The following is a 24,509-nucleotide window of genomic DNA, read 5'->3' on the forward strand; positions in this document are numbered from 1 at the left end:
TCCAGAGTAGTTTTAAATGTTTTTCTGTGTTAATATGCAAAAGTATCATGAAGGCGAAATAAATTGTTTGCAAATAATTGAGTCAAAATATTATTGTTCCTCCAAAGATCCTTACTTAGTCGTGTGTCACAGCTTGTATAACAGGACGTATTTTGCAGAGCTGTTTAGTTTGCACTGACTTGTGCAACAGGAATGGCCAGTTTTCCTTACGCTCAGGGCAATCAAACACAACTTTATAAGAATTGTAACTTTAAAAGATTTCATATTTTTGTTGTTGTTGTTGTTAAAATCGTTGATGAAATAAATTCAATAGTAAAACTTCTAAGATTTGAGTCATCAAACCTCTAAATATGCTGTTTTTCTGTTCTGTTCTGTTCTGTTCTTTTCTCTTTTTTCTTTTTTTTTGATGCAGTCTCACTCTGTTGCCCAGGTTGGAGTACATGGCACGATCTCAGCTGACTGCAACCTTTGTGTCTTGGGTTCAGGCGATTTTCCTGGCTCAGCCTCCCGAGTAGCTGGGACTACAGGCATGTGCCACCATGCCTGGCTAATTTTTGTATTTTTAGTAGAGGCAGGGTTTCACCATGTTGGCCAGGCTAGTCTCAAACTGACTTCAGGTGATCCACCCACCTTGGCCTCTTAAACTGTGGGATTATAGGTGTGAGCTACCCTGCCTGGCCTAAATATGCTGTTTTTCCTTTCTATTTATTCGGTTGACCAGTTTCTTTCTTCTTCTTTTTTTTTTTTTTTTTTTTTTTTGAGATGGGGTCTCACTGTGTTGCCCAGGCTGGTCTCGAATTCCTGACCTCAAGCAATCCACCCCCTTCAGCCTCCCAAAGTTATGGGATTACAGGCATGGGCCACCGTGCCCGGCAGGTCAATCAGTTTCATTAGAAGACTTGGGTTATGTCTCCTACAGCTTGTGTAATACAGACATTTTTATTTTTACATTAGTCTTTGTATGAAATGAAAAAAGAAATCAGTTATTTGATAAATACAATCCTTCACTATCTCATTCTATTGAATGCACTTGTTTCATAATGTTCCTTTTACGAAGAGTATATTGAAGGGAAAAAGGGGCAGACACATGTATTACTATCTGTTTTTCTTTTTTTTAAATTTTAGGATACATGTATTACTAACAACAACACACAAAGCATGTAGGTTTGAGTTCATTTGGAGTTGGCTTCTCCACTCTTGTTTGGGATACTCCTAAGTTGTTTTAGATGTTGGTGGTGTTTGTGTTCCTTGTCACCCTGTCTGTGGTGACACACGTTTGTGAAAAGGCCACCTGGTTTACTGTAGATGTGAAGTCATGGCTGTGGACTGGAGCAAAAGTAACCAACAGAAGTAGGATTAACGCTGTGAGCATAGCCTTCTTGCTAACTAGCTGAGCTCTCTGGCCATGGTTTTTGGTTCCGTTGATATAAAGAGATGTGCAGGGGCTGAGTGGCATTCCATGGATGTGCAGTCACCTTGTGATTCCAAGGCCCTGTAGCCCCTCAGCACATCATCACCATGCCTTCATTCTACTTTCTGCTGCCTTTTTTGTCTGTCTATACCAGGGCACAAGCAGACAGGATCAGGTAGCCCTACCTTTATCAGTGGCTCTGGGAAAGGCTCTTCTGGAGGAGGAGGTGGTGTGTGCTGCCCTCCTTCCCCCACCATCACTGCAAGTACCTGACAGTAGTAAGCTGTGTTAAGGGAAGGGAGGAAGGAACTTTGGGGATCCTAAGACTTCTCTGTCACAGGCGTGTAAGGCGGACTCTTCTCCGTTAGCCTTTTTTTTTTTTTTTTTTTAATTTAACTTTTAAGTTCAGGGGTTTGTTACATAGGTAAACTTGTGTCACAGAGGTTTGTTATACAGATTATTTCATCACCCAGGTATTAAGCCTAGTACCCATTAGTTATTTTTCCTTATCCTCTGCTTCCTCCCACCCGCCACCTCCAGCAGGCCCCAGTGTGTGTTGTTCCCCTCCCTGTGTCCATGCATTCTCATCATTTAGCTCCCACTTACAAGTGGGAACATGCAGTATTTGGTTTTCTGTTCCTGTGTTAGTTTGCTAAGGATAGTGTCCTCTAGCTCCATCCATGTTCCCACATGAGACGTGATCTTATTCTTTTTATGGCTGCATCCCTTAGCCCTTTAACTCATCATGCACGATAGCTGCCTTTGGATTCTTCCTTCCAGAGCCCCTTCTTGGAAGGTGTGCATCAGCTTGGTTACTCTCGGGACTTCCTCTGTACCACACGTGCCCTTTCTCTTATTCCTGGGTGCTCTCTTCTCTCCTCACAGTCTTCCGTGTGTGCTAAGATCGTGCAGCTCCTGGGGCAGAATGAGGTGGACTATCGCCAGAAGCAGGTGGTCATCCTGAGCCAGGATAGCTTCTACCGTGTCCTTACCTCGGAGCAGAAGGCCAAAGCCCTGAAGGGCCAGTTCAACTTTGACCACCCGGGTGAGTCGGGCATTGAAGGGGGTATGTATCTGTATTGGTGTGTTGGGGGGAATAGTTTTATTTTGCTCATGAGGAAGTTGCTTAACCTCTCGGAATCTTGTTTCTATCTAGAACGTAGGGACTTGATAACTACCTTGCAGTGTTATTGTGGGGCTTATGTGAAAGAAGGAATTTTCAAATGCTTCAAGTAGTGCTTGGCTCATTAAATACTGATTGAATCTGTATCTGAACAAAGGTGATTTTGTATGAGCCTGGGACTCAAGATGGGCCAGACATGAGGTCGAACATACAGAGCTAGTCCTGCTGCCTCTGATCTGAGGCAGCCCTCGTCAGACCCTCCTCCTCAGGTGTACATGTGTGTTCAACCCACTGTCTGGCAGAGAGGGAGATGGAGGGGCAGGGTGGCTGCCAGAGTGGTTTTTGCCCTACAGCCCTAGATCAGCACACTGCTCCTTTAGCTGGCTTGGGTTTCTTATAATTGTTAGAAGCAAACCTGGGCATGGTGCCTATTGTGTGTACTCCCCCAGTCATGGGTTTGCTTTCCAGGTCAGTTTAGCATGTGCCAATCCTAGGATGATAACAGCTAAACTTGGAGAGGGGAAAGAACTGACTGAAGTCAGGGATGGAATGTCAAAGGAGAGAAAAAAGAAATCTATTTGTCAGAACTCATTTATACACCCTATTTTGAGATACAGGGAGCATCCATTCTGCTTTGGGTAAAAATCCAGCTTTTTAGGGAGCAGTATGATTACCTTTAAAGTGTGATGTGCCCATATACATGTTTATGAGGATGCCTTGTGTATGATTATAGGAGATCCTATTTTAAAATTAAGAAACATTTTAACAATTTGGTATTTTTCAGATGCCTTTGACAATGAACTCATTCTCAAAACACTCAAAGAAATCACTGAAGGGAAAACAGTCCAGATCCCCGTGTATGACTTTGTCTCCCATTCCCGGTAAGTGAGCTGTTCTGGGCCAGGGATGGCACCCACTGCTCCGCAGAGCATCCCTGGTCTGCACTGAGACCTCCTTCCTTACCTCTCGCACTTCAGACCTCTGTCCTACCCCTGCCTAATGCCATTCCAGCTGGTCAGTGGAGTGGGTGGTGGCAGCAGTGTGTGCTGTGGGATTGTAGAGGTTGGGGAGTTCATCTGAGCGCTCCCTGGAACAGTCCTGTTGTCACGATTCCTTAACTCTGAAGGATGGGATAGTGATTTCAGCTTGAGGGACTGCATGTGCATTCTGATCCACATTCCAGTGCTGCTGTTCCTGGAACAAGATGTAAGGGGAGGGGTAGAGGAAGGGCAGGAAGAAGAGCAAAGAAAACTGTTTTTTCTGCTGTCCTGGTTTACTTGGGATTGGACAATGTGGAGAGGCATGAGGTCACCAGATCGTGATCTCAGAATTAACCAAGCCCTCCAGAAAGCTTCTCAGTGGAATCAAACCAGTCCTTTCCAGTGAAGCCTCAATTTTAGTGCTCCTGATTAGGAATAGAGGAGTGGCCACACTTCCACCTCATCCTCCTTCCCTTTGAGTGATGGGAATGGGCTCCTAGAAGATTGCACTCCTGCTGGCCAGACCCCAGGCTCCTTCAGAGCGTCTCAGACCTGAATGTAGAACACACACATCTTCCCATGAGTCTGAACTAGAGAGCATGGTGACGATTTGGTTGCAGGAGGAAGATGAGAGAGAGAGAGAGAGAGAATGAGCATGCATGTGTGTGCGTTGAGGTGTAGAGGGGGCTGTTTTGGTGCTTACCTCCATGCCTCACCAGAATCTTCTGAAACACTTCCTTCTATGGGCCAGGTTCTTCTGTGTAGGAGAGAGGAGAGTGAAAGATCAGGATACCATCCTCACGCCTCCCGTGTCACTCTGTTTTCCTAACCCAACCACTGCAGATCATGGAGGAATGAATGAAGGCATTTCGTATAGGATTTGGAGCTTACACGAACATCAAGGCTGGGAGAGTGAAGGCCTGGAAGTTTATAGTCAGAGAATCAGACAAAATAGTCCCCACTGACTCTAGCCTGAGGCACTGGAGCAGAAGCTGGGGTTCATGGAAAAGTCCAAGAAACCACCATGTCTGGGTTTGCAGCCTCAATCTGGGAGCTTATGGACTGTTTGCAAAGTTTCCCTGTCTCAGTATTATGATCTCCTGAATATTGTGGATTTTGCTTCACTCTCACCTTCGAAGTCTCTTGTTGGCGTAGTAACCTGGAAGCATGTGGGGCAAGGGATTCTGAGAATTGTAGTTCTCCCTTAGGGGGAAGTGGTGGTGGTGTCACGTTGACAAGAGACATTCCAGCCCACCACTTCCCAAGTAAAGAATTAAAATGCAGCATGATGGCTAAGGCAAGGGCCTGCAGAAGAATGTAAAGGAGGGAGGAAGAGCAGGGGATTCAGAGCAGGTTGTATGGAGGAGGTGATATTTAAGCTTTAGATAGGAAAGGATAAGAAGTTGTTTGGGAAAGGGATTTCCAAGGTGCTGGGTAGGGAAGCATTTCAGAGCTAGGCATGGATCAGCTTGGTTGGGGCATGGCAGTGGAGAGGTGTGGAGGAATGGGAGTGGGTGTGTGGGAAGGCAGGCAGACCTCAGGTCATGAAGGGCCATAGGCGGCAGGGCCAGGAGCACAGACATTTTGGCAATAGGGAGCTACAGACGGGTCTATTGTTGTAGTGGAAAGGTCATTGTGGTGGCAGGAGGAGAGAGGATCTGCAATGCCATTTGTGAAGAAGCCTTTGGAACAGCCCCAGTGAGAGTCTGATAAGGGCCTGAAAGAAAGCAGTGGAACTGAGCATGGTTGACAGGAGCCAGGGCCTGACCAGTGCAGTCTAGGAGTGGAGGAGGGAAGTTGAAGACCTCGTGCATCATGAGTTCCATCAAGTTGATATGCCAACAAAAGAAAATCCTGGTAGAATTCCCAGTGCAGACATGTTTCACGTTTCCTCCTGATTTATCTCATACCTTATATTTTAAAACCTTATCCTTTAGTGGCTCAAAGCTCATGTCTTAGAAACTTTCACTGATCACCCTAGACCCATATCCACCCCTTTCCTACCTCCTTGCAAATCTTAAGGGCCACTTAATTGGACATCGAGCCATTCAGGGTTAACTGATTCCATCCCACCCATGGGCGTTTGGTACAAACAAAAATTTGTTGGGCTAAAATGAAGAAGACATTTACTTGTTGCAATTACATTTCTCTGAGCATCCTTTTCCCCATAAGCCAAATGAGATGGTTAGACTGGGTTATCTCAGATGATCTAATTGGCTAGTTTCTTTCTGGGGCTTCCCAGCCAGACTCTAAATTCCTAAGTGGTATATTATGCCAGGTATGACTCCTTGCACATTCTGGGCTAGTAGTTGCTCAATAAATTTGTTGTTGTTTTTTAAAAACTCTGAGCTGTTATGACAGTTTTTAGACCTGCGTTTGGACTTGGGAAATGATTAATTCTAACTTCTTAAGGCACCACCAACAAATTAGGCAGTTAATTTTCTCCTTCCGAAGGAAAACCACTTTTCCTTTTTAGTATTTATCAGTTAGGCATCCTAAAATGCTCTTAATATCTAGTGTCAGTACAGATTGAACATCCCTAATCTAAAAACCCAAAATGTGAAATGCTCCAAAATCTGAAACTTTTTGAGTGCCAGTGTGACGTTCAAAGGAAATGCTCATTGGAGCATTTCAGATTTTGGATTTTCATGTTAGGGAGGCTCATTGTAGATCCTCTCTCCCCCTGCCATATTAGGGATGCCCTAAATATAATGCAGATATTCCAAAATCTGAAAAAAATCCAAAATTCAAAAATTCTAAACACCTAAGCATTTCATATAAGGGATACTTAACCTGGATATGTAAACTTAGTGCAGCCATTGTGTTCTCTGTTAGTGTGTTCAAGTGGACTCTTGCACATACATTCACTTTATTTTTGGACAAAGCCTTCCCACACTCTCCTTGGTGTAGGGGAGTTGCCTAGAGAGTGGCTCACTATTTCACTTACCCATTGGTTCTGTTTTCTGAACTTCTCTAGGTTGCCTTCTTATGCACAATGACAATGGGCACACCATTTTCTGGCAGCTGACATTCCTCTAGACTGGTGCTTCTCTACCCTGGCTGCATGTTAGAAATATCTTGGGAGCTTCTAAATAGTGTTGAAGTTCTAGCTCCACTTCAGACTCATTAAATCAGAGCTCCTTGGGGGTAGGATCCAGGTAGGGATATTTTTATAAGCTTCCCAGATGGTTCTGATATGCATCTCAGATACACCACAATTCTAGGGCATTTCCTAATCCTAGTCCTTTTTTCCCGTCTTCCCTGCCCCGTTCTGCCACTTGCTAGCTACCCTAGCAGTGCCTGCCTTAAAACTCAGACACAAGCCTGTTGGTCCAAGCTGAGAAGGCATCAGGAAGTGTTTATGGGAAGGAGTTCCAACGGCACCCTCTTGAGCTGGCCGTTGATACTGACCTCCTTATGTTTGCACAGATGGAACTACTGTTTTAAGAGACTTTGTTTTATTTGGTTTGCCAGTGTGCTAGTCAGGGTGAGTGGAAACCTTGCAATGATGATTATTTCTCTATTTTCAGTGAATTTTGAGCAAGAGGCAGTTGGTGACATATAAGGTGGGCATAGGACAGAATCAAAAGACAAAACACAGTGAAAGCTGCAGCAAGGCAAAGCTGAGCACAAGCAAGGCCATCTGTGACAGCCCGTCGCCTAACCGTTTAGCAATGTTTCACCCTTCTTGCTTTTTGAAAAGTCATGTTGGTTGAGCTTGGTAGCTCATGCCTGTAATCCTAGCACTTTGGGAGGCTGAGGTGGGTGGGTTGCATGAGTCCAGGAGTTATAGACCAGCCTGGGCAATATGGTAAAACCCCGTTTCTACCAAAAATACAAAAATTAGCCTGGGGTGGTGGTGTGCATCTGTAGTCCTAGACACTTAGGGGGCTGAGGCGGGAGGATCGCCTGAGCCTGGGAAGTTGAGGCTGCAGTGAGTCCAAGATTGCGCCGCTGCACTCCAGCCTCCTGGGTGACAAAGTGAGACCCTGTCTCCAAAAACAAGAAAAAGAAAGAAAAGTCATGTTTACAATTAGTGCCTGCCCTAGGCTACCCAACCATGTGGGTTGGGTGGATGAGGTCATGCATATTTCTGCTTTATTGATAAGGAAGAGCAGCTCTAGGGAGCTCAGGATTGACCTGTGGCCACTTTGTTGGTTTGGGGTAGAGCCAGACCAGACAGACGTCGGGATTCTGTACTTCCTCACAAATGCTTTCTCGTCTGTATCCTCTTTCCCAAAACTTTTCTTTATTTTCCCTCCTTCCCTTCCCCTTCTGTCCTTTCCTCCCTCCTTTCAATTGCCTCAGGACTGGCGGGGAGGGGATGGAGTTGTTGAGAGAAAACTGTGAGTTTCTGTTTTTAAAGTTCAGAGTGTTAGGTTCCATAAATGCCAGGCCATGAGAGCATTCCTGGAGACGCCTTCAGAGAAAAAAAGAAATCACATCTGTTTTTGTCTGCCTTTATTCTTCATTCAACAGCAGGTTTTTTTAATTCCAAGGAGAAGGATGTCTGCCGTGTATTTCTGTTTCATGGTGAAAGCTCAGAAGTGGTCAAAGGAGACCTTTGTCCCGGCCGTGATCACCCTTGGCTCTTTGGTGGTGGTCCGAGGGCTCTGTAAGACCATATTAGCCAAGTCTTTAGCCCCCGCTTGAAGTCTGTGGGGGCAAGGAACCCAGAACCCAGCCCAGCCAGATGTTCTGGCCCTTGTTCTCTGTCCCTTGCTAGCCCCTGCCTGGCTTGGCCCATTATCTGCTCTGTGCTTTGCAGGAAGGAGGAGACAGTTACTGTCTATCCCGCAGACGTGGTGCTCTTTGAAGGGATCCTGGCCTTCTACTCCCAGGAGGTACGAGACCTGTTCCAGATGAAGCTTTTTGTGGATACAGATGCGGACACCCGGCTCTCACGCAGAGGTGCGTTCTAAAAGCCTCAGGTGGCCCTGTTGGTGGCCACCTTGAGGGCGGGGGAGCTGGGAGCCTGTGACAGGACCCCACCCGCCTGAGTCTGAAGCCCATGCCTTCCCTGAGGCAGCTGTGTGTCGCATGGTCCAGCCCGGCTGCGTCAGTCCAGCCCCAGGATATCCTGCTGCCCAGACACTTGGTAACATTTGAGAAGGGATTAGTCACTTACTGTTTGGGATAACGAAAGGCTTGTGAGGTCACAGAGACTAAATAAGACACTGACATCTGGTTTTGCCTGGAAAAGTTTGATTAAATGCTTAGTTCCTTGCAATTTGTTTATAAGACATCAAAATGAAGATGCTCTGATTTGGGGAACTAACTGTAGGACCCCCGAGGATAGGATCCCCTGTGCCTGAAGTACTGGGCAGCTCATCCTGTTAGCCTGCTTCTCTAGCCCTTTATTTTCCAGCAGGCTTTATGGAGGCATTATCACTCTTTCCAGTCAGCTCAGGAGGGAAGTCAGCTGTGCCCTCCGCAGGCCCTACTAAGTGTGGGCCTGCCTGTGCTAAGTCCCTGTGCTTGTGTGCTGAAGGCACAGCAGTGCCCCTTGGTAGAGGAGCCCAGCCTGTGAACTGAGCTCTACAGGGTATTCAGCAGAGAGTTCGCTTCCACCAGGAGAGATTGGGAGGCTTCATGGAGGAAGAAGGGTTGGGACTTGGATGTGGTGGGGTAGGGTGACGCTATAGGCAACCCATGAAGGTGCACGGCAGAGATGTACAGACAGTGGCTTGTTCCGAGAGTGGCAGGAACCTGGAGTGTACAGAGGGTTGTACGAAGAGACACTACAAAGTAGGTTGGGGTCTGGTTTTAGAGACTGAGATCTCTAGTCTGGTTCTCGGTGGGCAAGGGAGAGCCACTGTGAGGTTCTGAGCGAGGCAAGTGAAGTGGCCACTGTTCTGTGTTGGACACTGGTTCTGACAAAGGAAATGTAAGTGAAGCCTGTAGCTGGAGCAGCTCTTTGGAGACTGCTCTGCTGATCTAGACGAGAGGCAGGGCTGTGGTCCTTAGATGGGTGGGAGAGGGAGCAGAGTTGAGATGAGAAGAGTATTAGCAGAGTTAGAATCGACCAGGACCCAGCAAGGGCAGTGGGTGGAGGCGACTGAATAGAGGAATGAAAGGTGAGAAGGTTTGAGTCTCCGTTGTGTGACAGAGGCAGGGAGACACAGGAAATGACGAGGTTAGCTCCTAGTCACAGGACACATTATTGACAGTTTCAGATATTATAAGCTGTATCCCAGGGCCCTCTGACTTCAAAGTCTGGGTAATTTTCTCTTTTCGGTTCATGAAACAGATCTGTAGTTTATCCCATTTAGCACCGTAATTGTAAGAACTATTCATGAGACCAGTAGAACCTACAGAAACAAGTCCTGAGCTTTGCCCTTCTAAGTAGTAATAGATACATATGCTATTAAGTCAGTGGGAGCTACATCTTGCTCCCAGGTGGGGTGAGGGACAGTTAGTTTTGTGTGATGGAAAAAAGAATGGAATGGGAGGAGACTTTTAGTTCTAGCAGAGCCCTTCCCAGCTAGCTTTGTGACTAGGCTCTTGCGACACCCCGGCTTGGGTTTCTTTATGGATAATACAGGGGAGACAGGCCTGCTTTTAGTGTCACGACTCTGGCTGGGTAAGAGTTGCATGGTCATTTTGGATAGATAATTGAACCCTGAGCCTGACAACCCCTCATGCTTCTGCCCCAGGGCCTGGCTTGTCACCTTAATCCACAAACTCCGGCCCTGCTTTGGTTGATCTGCTCAGTGTCCATGTCAGCTTGTCAAATTAGAGAGGCAGTGTGATACACAGGGACAGATAAATTTTAGAGTCCAGCGAATTGGGCTGAGATCCTGGTTTTACCACTTACTAGATGTGTGGCAAATTGTGCAAATTGGCAAATTGTGTTTTAACTTTTTTGTATCTCATTTTCCTATTAGAATGTGGTCTTATGATTGGTACTTCTGGGATAGTTGTGAAGATGAGAGGTAGTGCAGGTAAAATGCCTGGTGGTGCATTAGTCAATAAATATCTATGTGGCAGATCAGAAATCTGCTTCTGCTGAAGGGGTCGGTGCTGTTCGTTTTCTGAATTTTCTGACAAGACTGGTTAGATCCTCCAAGGGGATCTGCTCCGGTCATGTCCTCAGGAGCTAGTGATGCCCGGACTGATGCCATCACTAGTCCAGCAGTGGTACTCAGTCTCAGGGATGCAGTGCTGCCGAGGGAGGCCTCGCAGCAGGGAGTGCAGGAACCAGCACAGGAGATTAGAACCAAGTTTTGAGCAGCAGCAAGACGCTGGAAATAAAGTGCATCCTAGTGTCTAATTCAAACAGATCATCACGGTGTGGTTTCAACAGAACATTTTCCCTTCCTTTCTTGCATGGGATTCTTATGTGAAATAGGAGCAATTCCTACAATGGTGCTGGCCCTCTGGGGGTTTCTTAGGGCCAGCTCTGCCTCTCCGCCTTCTCTGAACAGGCTGCCTGGGCAGGGCTCTGCTTTCTCATTTCAGATCTGCTAACTTCACATGTCACCTACTGCCGAGTCACTTTCCTGATGGATTCATGGGACTTTTCTGCATGCTATTTCTACAAATTCATTCTCTCTCCACGTAGGACAAAAAACATGCTTGGCATGTGCTTTGTGGAGTGCGGGGGTGCTGGGGTAGGGAGGCTGGTTAGTCAGAAGCAGCTGTTGAGTGAGCTTGAACATTCCTGGAGACTTGAGTTAGCTCCATGATTTTACCCATCTGTCACACCCTCCTGGGCATGTGACCTCCAGATTCTGAGTTGACCCTCATGTGGGAGAGAGATCTGTGTTTGAGTGAAGCAGCCCTGGAAACTACCTCCTTCCTGATGGAAACCCTTGATCTTCTCGGGATTGGTTTCTAGCCTCATTTGCCTTCATATTCCCTCTGTGCTCTTTACCACCACCCAGCTCTGAATACGGGGACAGGGAGGAGGTGGGGCAGGGAGATTCAGGATGGCTGACCCCTCATCTTCCTCATCCATCATTCTCTGGTTCTCATAGAATTAGGGCTGCACTGGGCCTTGGGGGATTCAGCCCATTCTTTTACTATAGAGTAGCACATTTCCTCATCAGATTTTTAAAGTGATTGACTTCACCATTGAGGAATTATCTTTATTTTGGGTCCCTCTAAGTTTCTTTCTTGGCTTTTGGCTAACCAGAAAGAGCAAGTCTGGGTTTGGAAGGGCTGACGTGGAAGCCCAGCAGGGAATGTGGGCAGACTTGTAGCTTCCTGCCCTGTACCCTGTCCTCTGAAAAGGCCTGTCCTGGCCCAGCAAATGTGCTGGGGTCAGAGCAGTGATGGAGGGGCTGGTTTTGAGCCCCTGGGGTTTCCAGGTTGTGCCAAGACCTTGTTTGGACTCAGTCCTTGGCGCGGCCCTGTTTCCTGACTCTGCCTGAGGAGAAGGGCCTTTCAGTGCAGGGAACTGGCTGGCCCTCTGTTGTCCTTGGCTCAGGGAGGCACAGTCTGCCTGAGGTGATAGTTCTATCGGAGGTTCTTGGGGAGCAGAGGTGGGCAAGGCCTTATGATGTTGCATGTTCCCAGTGTCTGGGCAACATTCTGACCCATTCCCCATTTGCTTTTCCAGCGTGGAAGCTGTAGTGGGACTATTCCCTATCTTCCTTGCTTTTTTTCCTTCCTCACGTATGTTGTCCTATGTGCTTGTGTCCTGCTCTCCCTTCCCGCGTGGCAACCTGCCTTTCCAGCTGCCCTGCGGGACTCCTTTTTCCCTTTGCTGCCCCCGCTCAGCTGGGTCTGACCTGCTTACCTGAATTCGAGGTTCCCGCGCTCCCACGGTGTTGAGCTGCTCTGTCAGGGAGGCACTGCCCTCCCAACGCGTCCTCAGGTTCTGTTGTGGTCGTAATCATCATAGAACACATGCTTATTGAACATGTGCTAAGGTGCCAGCTATGGTGCTGAAGAGTTTTATGCACATCTCTGTATTCCTGAATAGTAACTGTATGAGGAAGGTACCATTATTGTCCCTGTTTTATAGTTAAGGAACTTAAGATTCAAAGAGGTTAAAGTCACTTGTCGAAGTTCACAGAGGTAGGAGTTATTGGGGTTAGGATTCAGGTCCAGGGCAGTTTTCCCCCCAGAGCCCATAGAGGTAGAACAAGAAGCAGCTTTTGGGCTACAGAGCAGCTTCACTGTGATTTACCTCCTCCTCCTACTTTCTGCACGACCAGTTTCCTCTCTCCAGTGACAAAACAGCTGAAGCCACCAGATCTACAGAAGGAAGGGGGCTGAAGGCCCAGGCTGAGGGCAGTTAGGAGGACTACGTGACAGGGTGTGGACGTGCACTGTGTGTGCGTGCGTGCGTTTGTGTGCATGTGTGTTTGTGTGTGTGCACGTGTGTGTGTGTGTGTGCTGGGAGAAGGACAAAGCTTCCTCCAGTGCTAAAGCCTTCAGCAATTGTATGAAAAGCATGTGTTGCAAAACAATCCAGCATCAGGCGTTTGCAGGGCTTTAAGTAAAAGCTGCCCAAGCACGGGTGTGTTTGTTTTTTCCCTAGCTCTGATACCCTTTTGATCTGGTTTCCTTTTTTCTTTGGGCTTTATCTGGAGACGTGTGAAGAATTGGAGGCCGCGCTGGCTGTGTGTTTTGGCGGTGCTACTCTGGTTAGCCATGTGTGCCGGAGCTCTGGGGACTTCTGGGGGGTGAGCCACGTGGCAGCTCCTTAGGGCTCCTTCTTAGCGAGTCTCCCAGCAGATCTGCCAGAGCAGCAGGTCGGCAGCAGGAGCCCAGGTCCAGCGTTGCAGGGGTGGGGAAAACCATTTCCTGGCTGGAGAAGGCTGCTGCTGGGCTGGGTGGGCAAGTCCTGACACATTAGCGATCAGCCAACTGTTTTATTACCAGGTCTCCCATGGAGAAAACACTTCGTAAATCGAGGAGCTGTTACAAAAGTCGAATGGCAGCATCATTAGTGCCCAGCTTTCTGGAAATGTGGATTTCCTGACAGTTTTCTCACCTTCTCATCTTATAGATTTCCTGTCAGCCTGGATCATAGCCATGACAGCCTCCCCGTTCCCTGGCCTCTCTGTGCATGCACCTGTGCATGTGTGTATAAAGACAGAATTATTTAGACAAATGGCTTTCAGAAGTTCCGTCACAGATATACCCCATGTTCGTTTACAGTGAGTTTCACCCAACATTTGAGTCTATTTACTGAGAAATGGTTGGGAAGGAGCTGAAGAGCCACTGCAAATGATTGTAGATGGATGTGGTAACTTTTTGGGGTGAAAGATTTAGCAGCTCAGATGATAAGGTTAGATTAAGATAGCATTTAAAATGACATCTGCAAAGAGAGGCAGTTTTAATTAAGAGAATCTACTTCCAAACTCCCTACTCATGGGGAAACTAAGGCTCATGTACAGCGGCAGAATGAGGGTGATCAGTCTTCTTTCTATTTATTGACAGAAGACTCTATTTAATAAAGAGTGTATGGGCTGCCTATAATTCCAGCACTTTGGGAGGCCGAGGCAGAAGGATCACTTGAGCCCAAGAATTCAAGACTAGCCTGGGCAACAAAGCAAGACCCCGTGTCTACCAAAAAAAAAAAAAAAAAAGGCTCACACCTGTAATTCCCAGCACTTTGGGAGGCTGAGGCGGGTGGATCAGGAAGTCAGGAGATCGAGACCATCCTGGCTAACACGGTGAAACCCCCATCTCTACTAAAAATACAAAAAATTAGCCAGGCGTGGTGGCAGGTGCCTGTAGTCTCAGCTACTCGGGAGGCTGAGGCAGGAGAATCGCTTGAACCCCAGAGGCAGAGGTTGTAGTGAGCTGAGATCGCGCCACTGCACTCCAGCCTGGGTGACAGAGTGATGAGACTCTGTCTCAAAAACAAACAAACAAAAAATTAGTCCATTGAGGTGGTGTGTGCCTGTAGTCCCAGCTACTTGGGAAGTTGAGGTGGGAGGATCACTTGCTCAAGCCCAGGAGGTTGAGGCTGTAGTGAGCTATGACTGTGCTACTGCACTACAACCTGTGTGACAGAGCAAGACACCTTGTATTAAAAGAAAAAAAAATTTTTTAAAGAAAAAAAAAAAAGAATGGTAAAAGCCCCTGGATAAAACTGACCGGGGGAAGAAGGTAGAAGACAGAAGATGGTGAGTTTGTTGTCAATTTGGGCTTCATCTCAGCCCCAGCCCACCATTCTCTAGGCCATGGTTTTCTTATCTTTCACTGAGTGATTTTTTTTTTTTTTTTTTTTTTTTTTTGGCAAACCTCTGTGCATGAGGTAGGTGGAAATGGTTAACCATGGCTGGGTCCTCAGCCTGGCCTGGGCTCCATGCTGCAGAGGGGGCATGGGTGGGAGCTGGGAGCAGTGAGCTGATGCCTGATCAGTGGGTCGCTGGACTTCTGAACGCAGGTAAGTGCATGCAAGGAGGCAGCGTGCAGCCCAGCCCTCTCGGGGCCCAGATTGCTTCTTGTTAACAGTGAGCTCTCCAGGAGTGCCCTGCTTTTTTAAAAAATTCACACTGAAATTTTGTTTGGAGCAAATGTTGCTTGAAACAAGAAGGCTGTTGGCCTCCATGGACAGCCTTTTGTTTCAAAGAGCATTGTGTCATTGCCAAGTTTGACCATTGTAAGATGTCAGAATGTAACTTGTCTTTTCCGAAGCCGCTGCTGATCTGCTCTTGGTCAAGCCTCTCAGGATTCCAGCTTGAGAATCATCTAGAGTAATTGTGGAGCCTGTGGGAGCTAGGTCCACCCCATGAAGGGCGGGTGTGTGCTGGCTCCTACACCGTTTTTTGATTCTTGTTTTCCCTTCTCTTACAGTATTAAGGGACATCAGCGAGAGAGGCAGGGATCTTGAGCAGATTTTATCTCAGTACATTACGTTCGTCAAGCCTGCCTTTGAGGAATTCTGCTTGCCAGTGAGTTGTGTTCTTGGTTTGTTTTTGTTGAATGTAGAATTTAAAATTTGATGATATAAACGAAGGTGTGCAAGTTTGTGGAGCTCCCCTGCCTGAATCTCACTCCTCTCTCTGAGTGATCCTCTGTCCTGAAGTCCTAAGAGAGGGCAGCCCTTGGTCCTTGTGTCCTCTGTGTTCTCCAGGAGCCCTGTCCTGCTGTTCTTTCTTTGGGTAGCCCTGTAGGGTCCTGCCAGTCCTTAGGCAGGTCATTTAATTCCCAGCTAGTTCTAGGTTTCTTGCTTGGTGGGGTCATGGTGTGAGACCGTTTACTGAGGGTGTATCATATCCAAGGAGAGTCCTCAGCCATTTGGATCTCTGAAGGGTCTGCAATGGGTGACGTATGGATGCACTGGGTGCTGTGCCCCGAGATGTTCCCCTCTGAGCCTCTCCTGCCATCACCACTGAGCCCTGCTTTGAGCTTGTCTTTAGCTCCCATTTGGAGACTGTCATGCCTTACTGGAATAAGCTTCCTTCCCTTCACCCTTGCAGACTCACCAGTCCTTCCTGTGGCAGCTAGGAATTCTCTAGTGAGGTGGCTTTCAGAGAAGGAAGAACACAGAGAGTTGGCCCTCAGCCCAGGAAAGACAGGAAGGGGCATGTTGAGGGAAGGCTACCAGAGACAAGAGGTGTGGTGTGCTGGGGCTGCAGAAGGAGAAGTATTTAACTCAGGAGAATCCTACTGAGTCAATGAGTCTTCTCCAGCTTGGCCAAACCATGGTCTGGCTCCTGAATTATTTATAGTTAAGCTCTGAGACCGGGAGGAAGGGAAGGAAGAGCTTGGGACTTAACCTGGTCTTGGTTGAGATACACTGGGAAGGCTGGAATCTCTGAAGACATTGAAGATTTAGAGTAAGGCTGGGTATTGGAATTTCCCTATTTATTCTAACAATAAACTTCATTCTTTTTCTTCTGGGAAAATATCTCAAACTGTCTTTGTTTCTTTAAGGATGTTACTAGCTTTTACAGCAACCCATACTTGACTTTGGTTTAAATGCGGGACAGGTGGACTTTTTGAGCCAACTGAGTAACATTGATGCCCTATCCATTGCCCTGGAGACTATTGAGTTACAAGAGTAGGTTACTGGAAAGAGACCAGAGGGGGCTGAGGAGCTGTGAACTTCTTTCCACCCAGTTATCTATCTGAGGACCTCTCCTGTTATTTTTGACTTAATAAGAACACAAAATGAATTTATTATTGGATATCAGTCATATTTAACTGTCAGTTTTCTACGTTTAACTTAGTTGTAACAAAGCTAAAAATTCTGCAGACGTTTTCTGGGTTATTTCTGCTTGCTTCCACTGTCCAGCCACTCTTTGCTCAGGGAAGATCAGCTCATTCCCCTGTAAGCCAGGAACTTGGACCTGATAAATGTCTGCTCAGTTCAAGTTGGGTTTGGGGCTGACACCGTTGCCTTTCAGCAATCCTAGGGCAGAGGCTGCACAGAGTAAGATGCCCACATGCTTGAGGTGTGGTTTATGTGTTCTTATGCTAGACTTAGTTTGTATGCCAGGATGCAGTTACTTGTAGAATGGTCTACAAAATCTCAGTAAATTTGGACCAACAAAAAAGAAAAAGAAAAAAGAAATATGCCTCTTTGTGGCCTGACTTTCTTTCTTTAAAAATTGGGTAATAATAGAACCTATGAACTGGTCATCAGTGAAGAATACTTTTTCTGGTTTTACCCTGTGCTAGGAGTGAACAGTGTCATGTTTCAGACTATGTGTAAAAGTCCAAGGTGAACCAGTCCCCTGGAAAGTTTGGGTTTTTCTAGTTCATATTTGTCCTAGTGGAATAGAGGCAATTAAGTGTTTGGCTTCAAAGACCATGTTCTCTGCATAGGTCATAAGCTGAAACAGTGTTCAGCGTTAGAAATGAGAACTTGGTTGGGTGCAGTGGCTCACGCCTGTAATCCTGGGACTTTGGGAGGCCCAGGTGGGTGGATCGCTTGAGCCCAGGAGTTTGAGACCAGCCTGGGCAACATGGCGATACCCCCTCTCTATAAAAAATAACAAAAATTAGCTGGGTGTGGTGGCGGGTGCCTGTAGTCCCAGCTACTCAGGAGGCTGAGGTGGGATGATCTCCCCAACTCAGGAAGTCAAGGCTGCAGTGAGCTGTGATGATGCCGCTGCACTCCAGCCTGGGTGACAGAGTGAGACGCTGTCTTAAAAAAAAAAGAGAGAGTGAGAGAGAATTTGAATAAAAGCTAAATTCTTGTAATGTAGATAAAGTGGATAAAAATCCATGGTAGATAGTTATCAATCGAATTATGAACTGGTTTTGGATTAACCACTCAGTCTGGACCATTTTCCCTCACTGATGCATGAAAGTCTTCAATCCTTCTTTCTCATTTTCCTCATTCCCTGCTTATCTTCTTTCATTCACATTTCAGCTAAACAAGGCACTTCCTTAGGTTTCCCCAAATTTCTATTAATAGATGCATTCACTGTGAAGTTGTAAACAATATTATATTTGAAGCCTTAAAAGGTGCTCTTCTGGGCTCGCTAGTATGAATGCTGCCCTTTCCCCATATTCCCTTGGAGAGGGTCTCGGGCCAGTTGTCTCTTAACTGTATTAATGCATATTAACTGTCTTTCTCCACAGACAAAGAAGTATGCTGATGTGATCATCCCTAGAGGTGCAGATAATCTGGGTGAGTCCCTGCAGAGTGTCATCCTGGAGTATAATGTCTGCCCTTTGTCAGTCATAATTTGGGGCAGGATGTGGTGACCCTACAGGGCTCTGCAGACATGGCTGCCCTGCTTGTCTGTGATTGTGAGCCAGCAGAACCTTTCCACCTACACGTCTGGCCTCAGGAACAGGTCCCTGGGTGTAGGCACCCATGTGTTACGGGGACAGACATGCACTTGTGCTTCTCTGGCAGAATAGAGGGCTGTAGATTACCTTTTACTATCACTTCCCAATGATGACACTTGGGTACTTTGCTTCTGAGGCCACCTTTTAGCAAAAGCAGATTCCCTCCTTGATCTAATTTAGAATGACCTGCCATCACGGTAGCCCTTTCTAAAGGGAGCTGGTTGCTACCATTATTGTACTTATTTTTCATTTTATTTTATTTTACTTTAGAGACGAGGTCTTGCTCTGTCACCAAGATGGAAGTGCAGTAGCACAGTCACAGCTCATTTGCAGCCTCCAATTCCTGGGCCCAGCCTCCCGGTAGCTGGGACTACAGGCTTGCACCACCACGGTCCACTAATTTTAAAAAAGTGTTTTTGTAGAGATGGTTTCATTATGTTGCCTAAGCTGGTCTAAAACTCCTACCTCAAGCGACCCTTCCATCTCAGCCTCCCAAAGTGTTAGGATTACAGGCGTGAGCCATAGCACCTGGCCCCATTGTTTTATTTATTTTTTTGGCCTGTCTAGGAAGTATGAATGTCTCTGGACTAGGCGTAGTGTGGCAGAGTTGATCTGTAAAATAGGACCTGGTTTCTTCATTCTCTTTAGAATTTATTTAATTTTCCCTCCATTTAAAAAGATTATTTCTTGAGCTGTTTGGGAGTAAGTTATAGCAATAAATATTTAACCCTGTATTTTTTAAGAACAAAGGCATTCTTATTCATCAGCAGAATGCAGTCATTAAATTCAAGACATTTACCATTGATATGACCTCTTTTAACCTGGAGATGTTCCCTATCTTTTGTTTTTTAAGACATTTTTGAGGCGTACAGGCCCATTGTTTGGTAGAATGGTCCTCAATTTGGGTTTGTCTTTTATTTTCTTATGATTGGTTTCATGAGCTTATACAGTCTGAAGGAATTATCCCAGGAGAGATGTGGCGTGGTCCTCTTTGTGTATCACATCAGAAAGCATTTGATGTGTATTCCATTTTTGGTGATGTTAAATTGACCTCTTGGTTGAGGTATATAATTTATTTCTAATGCTAATAAAAGATAGCTCTCTGCATTATATTTTTTGGAGGGAAAGAGGGCCTTCCATAGGGATGCTCTGTCTTAGGATGGAAAACTGGAAGGTTCCCTGGTGGAAAGGTCTCATAGCTAATTGACGTGTCAGAACCATGGCTGGTTACCACGTCTGCAGACTTTGGCCCGAGTGCTTCATCCAGTGGTGACTGATCATCTCCTGATAAGAAGCCCATTCATTAAGGGCTTACTCTGTGGTAGGCATTGTCTATCTTACTCCTTAGAGCCCTCCTGTGAAGGAGGAGGATCATATTAGCTCAGGCAGAGCCACTGGGAAGTTGGATGACTTGCCTGCAAGTGGCAGAGCCACTTCCCTGGAAGTCTTTCTACTGTGGTTCCTGCATGCCCTTCCCCCAGACAGACTCCCACACTCACCCCTGCACCCATGCCTGCACCCGTAACGCTCTGCTGGTCTCTGCCCCACAGTGGCCATCAACCTCATCGTGCAGCACATCCAGGACATCCTGAATGGAGGGCCCTCCAAACGGCAGACCAATGGCTGTCTCAACGGCTACACCCCTTCACGCAAGAGGCAGGCATCGGAGTCCAGCAGCAGGCCGCATTGACCCGTCTCCATCGGACCCCAGCCCCTATCTCCAAGAGACAGAGGAGGGGTCAGGAGGCACTGCTCATCTGTACATACTGTTTCCTATGACATTACTGTATTTAAGAAAACACCATGGAGATGAAATGCCTTTGATTTTTTTTTTCTTTTTGTACTTTGGAACGACAAAATGAAACAGAACTTGACCCTGAGCTTAAATAACAAAACTGTGCCAACTACTACTGGTGATGCCTAATTATGAATCCAACGTGTAACCAGTTATAAATACATATATATATAAAAAAGGATCTATTTTTGTGTAAATGTACAAATACTGTAAAGCTGTTTGCCATAAGTATTTTGCAGGAGGGTCTGTACTTGAGTGTTTTAGGACTGGAGCTGGAATTTCACCAAGGGGAAATTGCCTGTTGTGTCCCAGGGTGGGGAGGCTCGGGCATCTGTGAGAGACAGGGAGGGTGGCTAAGGTCCAGTTGCTTTTGAGTGCCCCGTGGAACTTGATGGGAATGGGGTTGGAAAACCTTGATTGCCTCCTCTGTCACATGCCACTCTTGGAGCTGGAGCTTAGTGATATGTCAATGAGAGATACTCTTGTCTTTTTTTTTTTTCTTTTCTTTTTTTTTTTTGAGTTGAAATTAGGTAAAATCTCAACTCAAAAATCAAACTCAGGGAAGAGGCCCACTGAGGAGAACAAGTCTTCTGCATTTTCTTCCTGCCCTGCTCCCACCTTCTCGCCTCTGGCTGCTTGGATAGCTTGGTGACTCCTTCCTCACCCTCCTGCTTCTCTGTCTCTCCAAGAAGCCAGAGCTGCCTCTTTCCTTCCCTGGAAGAGATTTTATGGGATCGCTTCCTGATAGAAGATGGGAAGGAGAGGGCAGAACTTTGCCTGCTGTCATATCTGAAGAATCACTGGTTCTTTCTGCATCCCAGGGGCGTAACTGATCTGACTCCTTGGGCTTTTTCCTGTATTGTGGAATATAGAGTGGACCATTGCAGGCTGGGTGTGGGTGAGGGCTTCGGTAACTGATGCCGGCAGCAGCGCCTCATGGAGTGGCAGGGGAGCTCTGTCTGTGGAGGGGTAGTAGTTTCCGCTTCCTGGAGGTTTGCAGTGAGGTGAGGAGAGTAACTTTGGTCAGGGATTCTCACTAGCAGCGTCATGGCCAGGATGCTTTACTTATTTGCAATACCACCTAGTGGATATGGCAACTGCAGAGCATAAAAGGGGCTCGGAAAAGCAGTTTTTACAAAGTATTTAAAAGGAGAGTATTTAAATCATAGGTACCTAAGTTGGAGCCTGAGGTTGAAATATTTGGGGTGGAGATTTCTAGCTTTCCTGAGAGCTGCTGCTTGGTGGTAGTGTTTTCTCTGGAAGTACAGATTCCTGACATTCTGGGTGGAGGGGAGCCCAAGTGAGCCTGAAGGAGTTCTGATTATAGAGTCCCGAGCCTCAGTTTCTGACTGCAGAAGAGCCAGAGATGTTCATTTCATTGTTGACCACCCTAGTGCTTGGTGGACTGTGCCCTTAGCTATCCCACTGTGGCTGCCATTGCCAGAAACATTTTGGAGAACCTTTTCTTCCCATTGCTCTCAGAGCCTGTTCGAGCCATTCAGGTAAATTGGTCTCCATTATTACCTGGTCACACCAGATTTTCCCCCAGACTCAGCACCATCCAGTCTGATTCCCCGTTTCTGGGCTCAGTTTGACTCTAAATCTGTTTTGCTATTTTAAAAAGTCAAACCTGGTCCCCAGCAGAGCTTGCCACCCGGAGACTTTCAGGAGACCGTGCAGGCTCTGAAGGGAGCTCCCAGTCACAGCAGCCGCCTACTTGGAGCAAGGGAAGGCTCCCAAGATGCCTCCTTTGAAAGCCGGTGCTCACCAAGATCAGTTCAGGATCAATCATTATCCTTGTAGTCATGCCTTGATCAGTTCTGAGATGAAGCAGGGAATGCAGGCCTGGGTTAGTATCCTGAGGACACAGGGCCCCTGGCCTTGATGGCACTGGGCTGTGCTCAGGTGAAGCCCACCCGTGTCTGGGAGAGCCTTGGCTTTTCAGTGGGCAGCATGCTCAACTTTACTTGAAGCTCCCAGGTGCCAAACCATTTAGTGCCTTGGCTGTTTATCCCACTGCCTTGGAAGATGGACTCCTCTCATCTCTGAGCCTTTACCTAGCTGCTTCCTCATCTACCTGTGGTGTTGGGACCAAGCCTCCAATATCTCTGAATAGCCCACTCCTAGCTTGGAAACAGCTATAAGGGCTGCCCTGCCCCTTGTCAAATGATCACCAATTCTTGGTGGCTTGGCTGGGGACAATGAACAGTGTCTGCTGGGGTCTGTGACACACTGTTTCTGGAACAAGGAAGGGATGGAAGGCTCTACCCCTCCGTGGCAGCCCAGCATTTGGCCAACTCTGTATCTGAACTTGAGCTTTCTATGGAACAAACAATGGTCTTAGTTTTTTAAGAGCCTCTGGGTCTCTGATTCCATGGAGAGTCAGGAGTAGAATTAGTGGACCAGAAACCATGACATTTGCCATCTAGGTACTCTGCTGTTCAGGGTGGAGGCACAGATGAGCAGAGTGGGGTGATGTTGGTTGTATGTGCATAGAAGTCCCCTGGCTCCAGAGCCATCCAGTGGTGCTTGGTTCTCTCTTCCTGCCCAGGTATTGTGTGTGGACCAAGTGTTTAGGAAACAAGCATAGAAGCATTATGTCACAGGAAGGCCTGGCCTCTCACTCCTTCACACTAATGAGCCTTCTACTGACCCAAGTTTCTTTTTCTCGGGCAGCCTGGGACCACTATGAGCAGAGAGATGGGAGTCTGTGTAAGAAGGATGCAAGTATCCTTTGATTTGGAGTGGACAGAGCAGGTCCTTGCAAAGGCAGTGGGTTAAACAACGGGATGTCTGTGGGACAGGCCAGGGAAGGAGGGCAGAGACAGGGTCTCCAGTTCACCTTGCCGCAGAACTAGCCTAATCATCCCTGCTTCTGGTCTTGGCCACTTGGCAATCATGGGGAAGTTGACTCCCCGCCTCACTTGGGCTTGGAGCTGGATACTTGTGGCCACGCCCAGGATAGGTTGCCAGAGTTTCATTAGGCCGCTGGGTCGGGCTGGAGGCTTGTGTACACCTCGGAGCAGTCGGGCAGCAGGAGGGCCGGAAGCCTGGTTGGTTTGTATATGACCTCTCTTGCCCTTGTGCACTTTCCTTGATTTAGCAACCTTGACCTGCACTGGCCCTCACAGCTGTTGGAGGGAAGTAGCCTCTTGCAGGGAAATATTTTCCCCTGCCCTGGAATCTCCTATGTGCCTGTTAAAGATTCCAGGGCCAAGAACTCGGCAGGCTGAGGAGCAGCTAGGTAGGTGGGTTATGCGGTTCAGGACTGCTTCTGGAAGGGACTGCCTGTACTTCTGTACCACCGTTGCCCTTTACACTTTGCTCAGGGCGGGGTGGGGGAAGCATTCAAACAAAACAAGGAAGGGAACTGTCTGGCAAAGCATAAGTGGATGCATCCAGAGCTCAGTCCCCTTTAATCTTTTGTCTCTGGGCGTTCTGCTGCCTTCCTCATACCGGGGACTGGCATTCCAGGTCAGCTTGGCTGTGGTCTTAGAGGCAGGGAGTGCCTACCCAGTCCTGCCTCAGGAGCAGGGTGAGTAGCTAAATACAGACTTAGGCTTTTTTTTCCCCCCTTTTAAGATGCTTGCTCCTCTCCCTTTTCTTTTTACCACCCTACCTTTATTGTTAGTGGTTACAAAGTGACCACATATTATGTACTTTGCTGTAAATAAAGACAGACAAAAAGGCTCTCGCCTTCTGTGTGATGCTTGGCCCAGAGCAGCGACCGAATCCTGGCTGTGTGGCCCAAGTGGCTCAGGAAGGGCCATGCTGTGCATGTGTGGTGTAGATGTCACTGGGCCTGCTGTCACGAAGCCTCATGATCCTGGGGTGTATGTGGGGCAGACCCCAGGCCTCACCTGGGCTCAGATACTGGTTCAGGTTAGTGGACTTGCAGTTCTTGTCAAGTGGGAAGCCCGGGCCAGGGTTTCTGGGAGCCTTTGGTTCTTAGGACAACCTGGCGCTATGTTCCCCTGATTCCATCCAGTTTACCTGGCCTCTGCCCCATTGCCTTCCTTAGGCTGGTGACCCAGCCCCTTCCTTGCTCAAACAAACCCTTTTAAAGTAAACTTTTTTGAGGGAGATGGGTGGAAGATGAGGAAAGTTTACATTATAACAACACAAACAGTTCCATGTTGTCCACACGCAGTGAATGGATGTATGTGTGTGTCTATCCCTGTTTTTCAAAGACCTAGGCTACCCACCAAAGATAGATGATTGGCTTTTGTCAGGGTGTGGTGGCTCATGCCTATAATCCCAGCACTTTGAGAGGCCAGGGCAGGAGGACTGCTTGAGGCCAGGAGTTTGAGACCAGCCTGGGCAAGAGGGTGAAACCCCATCTCTACTAAACAAAAATTAGCTAGGTGTGGTGGCACATGCCTGTAATCCTAGCTACTCGGGAAGCTGAAGCACGAGAATCACTTGAACGCAGGAGGCAGAAATTGCAGTGAGCTGAGATCACACCGCTGCACACCACTGCAACAGAGC

General features: G+C 47.3%; 1 protein-coding gene and 1 non-coding gene across 3 annotated transcripts in view, besides 3 other annotated features; both read left to right on the forward strand.

Annotated features, from left to right (window-relative positions):
• UCK2 (uridine-cytidine kinase 2) overlaps window positions 1-23,711 on the forward strand; it is an 84,005-nt gene extending 60,294 nt beyond the window's left edge. For both annotated transcript variants that reach the window (NM_001363568.2, NM_012474.5), the window contains 6 exons: window positions 2,297-2,456; window positions 3,319-3,415; window positions 8,283-8,425; window positions 15,275-15,372; window positions 18,014-18,062; window positions 19,777-23,711. In NM_001363568.2, coding sequence (NP_001350497.1) covers window positions 2,297-2,456; window positions 3,319-3,415; window positions 8,283-8,425; window positions 15,275-15,372; window positions 18,014-18,062; window positions 19,777-19,916 — 687 coding nt within the window. In that variant the 3' untranslated portion in view covers window positions 19,917-23,711. The remainder of the gene's footprint in view (window positions 1-2,296; window positions 2,457-3,318; window positions 3,416-8,282; window positions 8,426-15,274; window positions 15,373-18,013; window positions 18,063-19,776) is intronic.
• Window positions 10,614-11,813: an enhancer, noted in NCBI's record as "BRD4-independent group 4 enhancer chr1:165867758-165868957 (GRCh37/hg19 assembly coordinates)". NCBI's record gives its function as "activates an origin of replication core promoter dependent on BRD2, P300/CBP, MED14 and CDK7 cofactors, and independent of BRD4, by STARR-seq in HCT116 cells {active_cell/tissue: HCT116}" and the evidence as "EXISTENCE:reporter gene assay evidence [ECO:0000049][PMID:35650434]".
• Window positions 12,785-13,079: a silencer, noted in NCBI's record as "tiled region #10580; HepG2 Repressive DNase matched - State 5:Enh". NCBI's record gives its function as "represses a minimal TATA promoter and a strong SV40 promoter by Sharpr-MPRA in HepG2 cells {active_cell/tissue: HepG2}" and the evidence as "EXISTENCE:reporter gene assay evidence [ECO:0000049][PMID:27701403]".
• Window positions 20,014-20,069, forward strand: MIR3658 (microRNA 3658). The gene has a single exon (NR_037431.1). It is a non-coding gene; the product is annotated as a microRNA 3658 (primary transcript).
• Window positions 24,005-24,299: a silencer, noted in NCBI's record as "tiled region #2437; HepG2 Repressive DNase matched - State 5:Enh, and K562 Repressive non-DNase unmatched - State 18:Pol2". NCBI's record gives its function as "represses a minimal TATA promoter and a strong SV40 promoter by Sharpr-MPRA in HepG2 and K562 cells {active_cell/tissue: HepG2 | K562}" and the evidence as "EXISTENCE:reporter gene assay evidence [ECO:0000049][PMID:27701403]".

Source organism: Homo sapiens, chromosome 1, assembly GCF_000001405.40.
Source record: "Homo sapiens chromosome 1, GRCh38.p14 Primary Assembly".
Classification (NCBI taxonomy): Eukaryota; Metazoa; Chordata; class Mammalia; order Primates; family Hominidae; genus Homo; species Homo sapiens.